Below are 8,070 nucleotides of genomic sequence, written 5' to 3'. Positions count from 1 at the left end.
AATGTGGCAAAGCCTTCAGATGGTCCTCACACCTAACTACACATAAGATAACTCATACTGGAGAGAAACCCTACAAATGTGAAGAATGTGGCAATGGCTTTAAGTATTCCTCTACGCTTACTGAACATAAGATAATCCATACTGGAGAGAAATCCTACAAATGTGAAGAGTGTGGCAAAGCCTTTAACTGGCCCTCACAGCTTGCTATTCATAAGATAACTCATACTGGAGAGCAACCCTACAAATGTAAAGAATGTGGCAAAGCTTTTAAACATCCTGCAACCCTTTCTTCACATAACAAAACTCATACTGGAGAGAAACCATACAAGTGTGATAAATGTGGCAAAGCCTTTATTTCATCCTCAACCCTTAGTAAACATGAGAAGATTCATACTGGAGAGAAACCCTACAAATGTGAAGAATATGGCAAAGCTTTCACCCATTCCTCACACCTTACTAGGCATAAGAAAATTCATGCTGGAGAGAAACCATACAAGTGTGATAAATGTGGCACAGCCTTTATTTTATCCTCAACCCTTAGTGAACATGAGAAGATTCATACTGGAGAGAAACTCTACAAATGTGAAGAATGTGGCAAAGCCTTCAACCATTTTTCACACCTTACTATACATAAGACAATTCATACTGGAGAGAAATGCTATAAATGGTATAAAAACCTTTACATGGTCCTCAAGCCCCCATAAACATAGGAGAACTCATACTGGAGAGAAACCTTACAAATGTGAAGAATGTGGCAAAGCCTTTACTGCATCCTCAACTCTAAGTGAATATAAGACAATTCATACTGGAGAGAAACCTTGCAAATGTGAAGAATGTGGCAAAGCTTTTAACTGGTCCTCAGACTTCAATAAACATAAGAGAATTCATAGTGGACAGAAACCAATACTGTAACAAAGCTTTATTTATTTATTTATCTATTTATTTATTTATTTATTTATTTATTTTTGAGATGGAGTTTCACTCTTGTTGTCCAGGCTGGAGTGCAATGGCGCAATCTTGGCTCACCTTCACCTCCATCTCCCAGGTTCAAGCGATTCTCCTGCCACAGCCTTCCTGTGTAGCTAAGATTACAGGCATGCACCACCACACCTGGCTAATTTTGTATTTTTAGTACAGATGGGGTTTCTCCATGTTGGTTAGGCTGGTCTTCAGCTGCCAACCTCAAGTGATCCACCCATCTCAGCCTCCCAAATTGCCAGGATTACAGGCACAAGCCACTGCACCAGGCTGACAAACCTCTTTGTAAGGAAGTTCTCAACACTTATTACACATAATTCATACTGGACAGAAACCCTACAGGTGTGAAGAATTTGGCAAAGCCTATAACAAGTTCTCAATTTTTTTTTTCTTTTTTTGAGATGCAGTTTCACTATTGTGACCCAGGCTGGAGTGCAATGGCATGATCTTGGCTCACTGCAACCTTCGTCTCCTGGGTAGCTGGGATTACAGGTACCCACAATGACACCCAGCTAATTTTTGTAGTTTTAGTAGAGATGGGGTTTTGCCATATTTGCCAGGCTCGTCTCAAACTCCTGACTTCAGTTGATCCACCCACTTTGGCCTCCTAAAGTGCTGGGATTACAGGCATGAGCCTCCATTCCTAGCCATAAGTTCTCAATTCTTAAGAGACATGGCAATAATTCATGCTGAAGAGGAACTCTACAAACCTGAAAGATGTGACAGTGCTGTTCCCAACACCTCCAACGTTTCTATACATAAAAAAATTATACTAGTGTGAAACTGTAGAAAAGTATAAAATGTGACAAAGCCTTTATTTGGTTGCCACACTTGATAAATATAAAAATAAAAAATTGTTTAAAATTATTTGTATATAGCTTTAAAAGGAGATTTTTGGAAGCATTGTAATTACATTAAAAGTATACTTGTTTTCTTGAAAAAAAGTTTTTCAAAAGTGAATAATGATGTCATACAGCTTTCAAATTACTTTATGCTGTTATTTTATTCCTATTCACATGTGAAAACATATGAGCAATTTTTGCTGCATCAGAGATACCAGAGATTCTTTTTTTATTGGGCATTATTTATAACCTTTTCTATAAAAGTAAGGACACTAAAATGTAAGATGCATGATGAAAAGATAAGTGGAGAGGCTCATTGTAGTTAACCTATATTAAGTAATGTATAAGCTAGGTGTTCAGACTATTTTCTACATTATGGTGGAATTGTTAATTATAGTTAAAAGTATATTAAAATAAGTATATTATTAATTGTACTTTTATGTAATAAAATGCAGTATATTTAAAAATCATTAGATTATGTGCAAACTTAATTTTATTTTTTTAACATGTTAAGACTATTGTGCATTTAATGAAGCATTATTCCACTAACTTTAACCTATCCCACCTTACTCAAGGGTGTAGGTAAAAGATGGTAGCAACATACTATTTGGTACATAGTGAAATAACATCTCTAGTAATCACTTTGCGAGTGGCTTTAAACAGCAAATGAATTTAAGAATATTGTTTCCATAGGTTAGATTTTTATTCTTTTTTCTTATTGAAATTTATTATTGGTATTTGTGGGTATATAGTATGTGTATATATTTATGCCTTATATGGCATATTTTCATTCAGGCCTACAATGTGTAGTAATTACATTAGGGTAAATAAGGTATCCATCACCTCTAACATTTATACTTTTTATTACAAACAGTGTAATTATATACTTTAATTATTTTAAAATGTACAATTAAATTGTTATTAACTACATTGTTATTTTTATGGTCATAATAAAAATTATACAGAAATAGAATATGGCCCAGCCCAGTGGCTCATGCCTGTAATCCCACTACTTTGGGAGGCCAAGACAGGTGGTTTCCCTGAGGTCAGGAGTTCAAGACCAGCCTGGCCAATGTGGTGAAACCTCGTCTCTACTAAAAATACAAAATATAGCCAGACATGGTGGCACATGGAGGCTGAGGCAGGAGAATAACTTGAACCCAGGAGGTGGAGGTTGCAGTGAGCTGAGATCCTGCAGCTGTGCTCCAGCCTGGGTGACAGTGAGACTCGATCTCAGAAAAAAAAGAAATAGAAATCCATAGAAAATCCTGAAAAATTATTTAAAAATATTTGTTATATAGTTTTCTTTGAACATGTGGTCTCTGCCTGCAAACATAGACTTTTAGTGTTAATTTGCACAGGGTTAAATATACACATATCATTCTGAAGATAAACCTTAGGTGTAAGAAAATTATGAAGTGTTTTTGTGTAAGTATGAGTTTCTGCTTATTTTCAGAAGAAAAGAACAATTATTGGAACAATATTTTAATTAGGTGACTAATAAAAATCTAAACACCTCGGGAATGCTGAAAGCAAATCTATACTTTCTGCTTTGTCTTGAATTTATTAACTTAAAATTTTGTTGCTTATGGTTTAGATTCTCCCAGGAATCTCCCTATTAAAGCACAGGCAACTTTGTCTCCAGAAATAACACTCTGGAGTACAACAATAAAAGCCTTCTCAAAACAGAAAACAAATAAATATTTTTAACACTTATTTTAATGAAAATTCAACCAAAATTGAATAATTGGATATATTTTTAATGTTCTTTGTGTGTGTGAATGTATAAAATGATGCATAAAGGATAAATAAAAGAAAAATGATGTTAATATTTGTAATGAATAAAACTGGACATTTGTTAATTATTATTTGTAGAGGATATGTTTTTTTATGTGGATAACAAAAGTAGCAGAAAGACTTTTTTTCCCAAAACAATAAATAGAAGACTTAATGAGAAACATTTAATAAGCATTTAAAAGAAACTAGGGTTACTCTTTATGTTTAAAATATATGCTATTATTACACAAAATGAAACTGTTGTAATCCAACTTTAGAAGCAAAAAATAGACTTAAATTGTTAAACATAGAAAGAATTATATACATATATATTTGGCAGAATAGGGTTAGGCACTGTGATATGTGAAACAAATATTAGGAAATAAACTGTTATTCTTTAGATATAGTCTGAAGAATGTAAATGAAAATTCTGTAATTCCTTTTTGCCTGCAACAAATTTGAATTTATAACGAAGTATTTTGGTAAATATGGAGTGCCTGCTAGTTATGTAATTTACTTCAGGCATACCATGCAAATTCTAGCATATTGTCCTAAATATCTGAATCTAAAGTTACAGACAATTTGAAATAGAAAATAGAAAGTAAAAATGTATAGGGAGAGTGACATCAATAAGGTTAAAAGAGCCCTATTTTCATATTCCCTTACAGCAAAAAAAATCAGCCATCCCTGATGCCTTTATTGACTGAGTGCTGTGGCTGATGCCTTTAATCCCAGCACTTTGGGAGGCTGAGGCAGGCAGATCACGAGGTCAGGAATTCAAGACCAGCCTGGCAAACATGGTGAAACCTTATCTCTACTAAAAATACAAAACAATTAGGCGGTTGTGGTGGCACACACCTGTAATCCTAGCTACTCAGGAGGCTGAGGCAGGAGAATTGCCTGAACCCGGGAGGCGGAGTTTGCAGAGAGTTGAGATGGCGCCACTGCACTCCAGCCTGAATGACAGAGTGAGACTCCATCTCAGAGGAAAAAAAAAGTGCCTTTATTAGAGAACCAGTCATTATGGCTCACACCTGTAATGACAGCTACATGGTACATTAAGGTTGGAGAACTGCTTCAGGCCAGGATTTCGAGACCAGCCTTGGTTATGAAGCAAGACGTCATCTCCAAAATAAGGGCCTCTATGAGAGATTTGAGATCCAGGGAGGGAGTTGTGAAAAACTGTTAAAGCTTAAGGTTGAGAAGTGTTCTATTCGGAAGGCAGGCCCTCATTCAGGTGGAAAACTACATGACCCCTGTTCTTGGCTACAGACCAGGATAGGGTTCACCCAACTTGATCCCACTGAGAATTCTGAACTTACTCTGTAATTATCCCAAACTCCTACCAGCCACAGTCTGGCCAAGGTCCTGCCATTCCAGAGACCTGGAGGAAGGCACCCATTTACAGCCATGTAGGCAGGCCTGCAAACCTTGGCCTTTACTGGGGTCTGTGAAGCAGTTCAATGACTCAGTTTCAGTTACCTGAGCCTCAGTTTATGATCAGTTCTGCCTACATAGAAACCCACACAGTTACCTGAGGAAATGTTCTCTGGTACTCAGTGAAAGCTACACTCATCCGCATCCTGATACGAGGCCCACCATATGCAGATCCGACTGCAAAAACCTGCCCTAGTGTCTGCCCTATGGAGCAAAGTCCTGAAAAACATGTGGTCTGTTCACAAATAAAATGGGAATTACAACTATCCAAGCCCCTGTAACAAGCCAACTAATGGTGGACCCTAAAGCAGACCCAGCAGCCTTGTGACCAAGCTGCAACCCCTCTTCACTACAAATTCAGAGAGCTTATCATCACCCTAAGGGTCCAACAAAAGATTTTTATCTTCTGAAATCAGTTTATGAAAATTTGAAGAGGTGTTTGCTCCATCAAATTCAGACACCAATATAAAACTATATTTTGCCCATTGTCATTGCTTCTATTTTAATCTAGCACTGGATGTATGTGGCAGAAGAATTAGTTGAAAAAATTTAATCCATTGAAATTAAAGAAAAGTAAAAAGTTGCAGTTTGTAGATCATAAAATTTTATATTTAAGAAACCATAAACAGGGCCGAGCGCGGTGGCTCACGCCTGTAATCCCAGCACTTTGGGAGGCCGAGGCGGGTGGATCACGAGGTCAGGAGATCGAGACCATCCTGGCTAACACAGTGAAACCCCATCTCTACAAAAAAAAAAAAAATTACAAAAAATTAGCCGGGCACAGCAGCAGGTGCCTATAGTCCCAGCTACCCAGGAGGCTGAGGCAGGAGAATGGTGTGAACCTGGGAGGTGGAGCTTGAAGTGAGTTGAGATTGTGCCACTGAACCCCAGCCTGGGCGACAAAGTGAGATTCTGCCTCAAAAATAAACACAAAGAAACCATAAACAGTATATTAAAACCTGTCTAAACCAAATACACTCAGTAAATTAGCAAAATATAAAATTAACATACAAGTATACGTATGATTTCATACACTTAAAACTATCTGATAAAATACAGGAAGATGCTGGGCATGGTAGCTCACGTCTGCCATCCCAGCACTTTGGGAGGCTGAGGGGGGTCGATCATCTGAGTTCAGGAGTTTAAGACCAGCCTGGCCAACGTGGTGAAAGTCTATCTGTACTAAAAATATAAAAATTAGCTGGGCCTGATGGTGGGCACCTGCAATCTCTTCTAGTTGGGAGGCTGAGGCAAGAGAATTGCTTGAACGCAGGAGGCGGAGTTTGCAGTAAGCCAAGATCATGCCACTGCACTCCAGCCTGGGTGACAGTGCAAGACTCTATCTCTAAAAGAAAAAAAAAAGAAAGAAATCTTATTTGCTATAGTATTAAATAATAAATGTCTGAGAAAAAATTTAACCAAGGAGGTAAAAAAATCTTTACAATAAAAAAATGAAAAAAATTAGGGAAGATCCAAATAAATTTTAAAATATTTTATGTCTATGAATTGAAAATAAATATTACTAAAGTGCCATATTATCCAAAGTGATCTATAGATTCAATATAATGCCAATCAAAATTGCAGTGCTATTTTTTTCACAGTAATGGAAAATATAATTCTAAAATTTACATGAAACTAAAATAAACTTGGAATAGCCAAAGCAATCAAGGAAAAAGAGCAAAGCAGAAGGATATCATACTTATAATTGCCAACTATATTTCAAGACTAGCAATAAAAACAGAAAGGACTGTGCAGAAAAATGAACAAAAAAATGCAAAAGAAACTACTGCTCTCACACATTTCAAATCTGATGCAAAAAAAACCTAAAAAAGAGTTTTAGTTTCTCAAAATCATGCAAATATTTGTGAGTCCTGCAAACAATAAAAAAGCAGCCAGATTGTGCAGTCTCTTATATGCCATGAAGAGGAATTTTGCTTTCAGTATAAACCTGAAGGAAGCTCACTGAAAGAAAAATAGAATCCTTAGAGAATTTACAGGCATAAAGCAGGGCTGGGTGTGGTGGCTCACGCCTGTTATTTCAGTACTTTGGGAGGCTGAGGTGGGTAAATCACCTGAGTTTGGAAGTTCGAGAACAGCCCGACCAACATGGAGAAACCCCATCTCTACTAAAAATATAGCATTAGCCGGGCATGGTGGTGCATGCCTGTAATCCCAGCTACTAGAAAAACCGAGTCAGGAGAATCACTTGAACCTGGGAGGTGGAGACTGTGGTGAGCAAAGATCACACCATTGCACTCCAGCCTGGGCAACGAGAGCGAAACACCATCTCAAAAAAAAAAAAAAGCAAAAAGCGTAACAAAAAAGATGCCCCTTTCTGAGAGCAAAATTTAAAAAAATAAAACAAACAAAAAACCCCAGATGCCCAGGAACTATTTCCTTTGGAACTCAGCTTCCCCAGTCACATTCTAAGGACTGGCTTTCTCTTTGACCTTGGGACCTCTTATCTGTGTCATCTGTTGTATTCATTTTCACTCGCACCTACCTGGGGCTATGGCAATCATCTCAAGTCTCTTCAAAGTCAAAGGTTTTTTTCCTTGCTCCGGACAAGTGATCAGGTCTGGCTTAGAGAAAACAATACCTGTTTTATTAAGAATAAATAACATGAATCTTGCTCATATTCTCCAACTACAAGCTAGTAATGTGCTCAGCAGAGAGGATGTGATAAAATATAATAGTAAATTGATACCAAAATACTAAATTATAAAAGAAATTTCTAAATATTTAGAAAATACTTTCAATTTGTAGGTTTCTTAATTTTAATACCTGGTACTACTGAATCAAAAATTGGTGGTGGCAATTAGATTTTCAGGTGGGGCAACAATATTTTATGCCGCTAAATTTCTGGAAGTACCACTAATTTAGAGTGAAGAATACAGCTCATCTCAGTACTGTGGAAAGTTTGGATTAAGATAAAACATATTGAAGAAATTCTTTCCTATATTACCAAATTCTGAAGATTTTACAAATAAAGGGGGATCAGAAACTCTTTTTTTTTTTTTTTTTTTTTTTGAGATGA

General features: G+C 36.8%; 1 protein-coding gene across 1 annotated transcript; it reads left to right on the top strand.

Annotated features, from left to right (window-relative positions):
- Positions 1-223: 223 nt before the first annotated feature.
- Positions 224-990, top strand: LOC124904660 (putative zinc finger protein 826). The gene has a single exon (XM_047439794.1). The coding sequence runs from the start codon at positions 379-381 to the stop codon at positions 910-912; it is 534 nt and encodes a 177-aa protein (XP_047295750.1). The 5' UTR covers positions 224-378; the 3' UTR covers positions 913-990.
- The last annotated feature ends 7,080 nt before the right edge of the window (positions 991-8,070 follow it).

Source organism: Homo sapiens, chromosome 19 (assembly GCF_000001405.40).
Source record: "Homo sapiens chromosome 19, GRCh38.p14 Primary Assembly".
Taxonomy (NCBI): Eukaryota; Metazoa; Chordata; class Mammalia; order Primates; family Hominidae; genus Homo; species Homo sapiens.
This window is presented reverse-complemented; position numbering and strand designations above follow the sequence as displayed.

Excerpts from the sequence above, each read along its gene's own strand:
- LOC124904660 (XM_047439794.1), top strand. The coding sequence starts at position 379 with ATGAGAAGATTCATACTGGAGAGAAACCCTACAAATGTGAAGAATATG.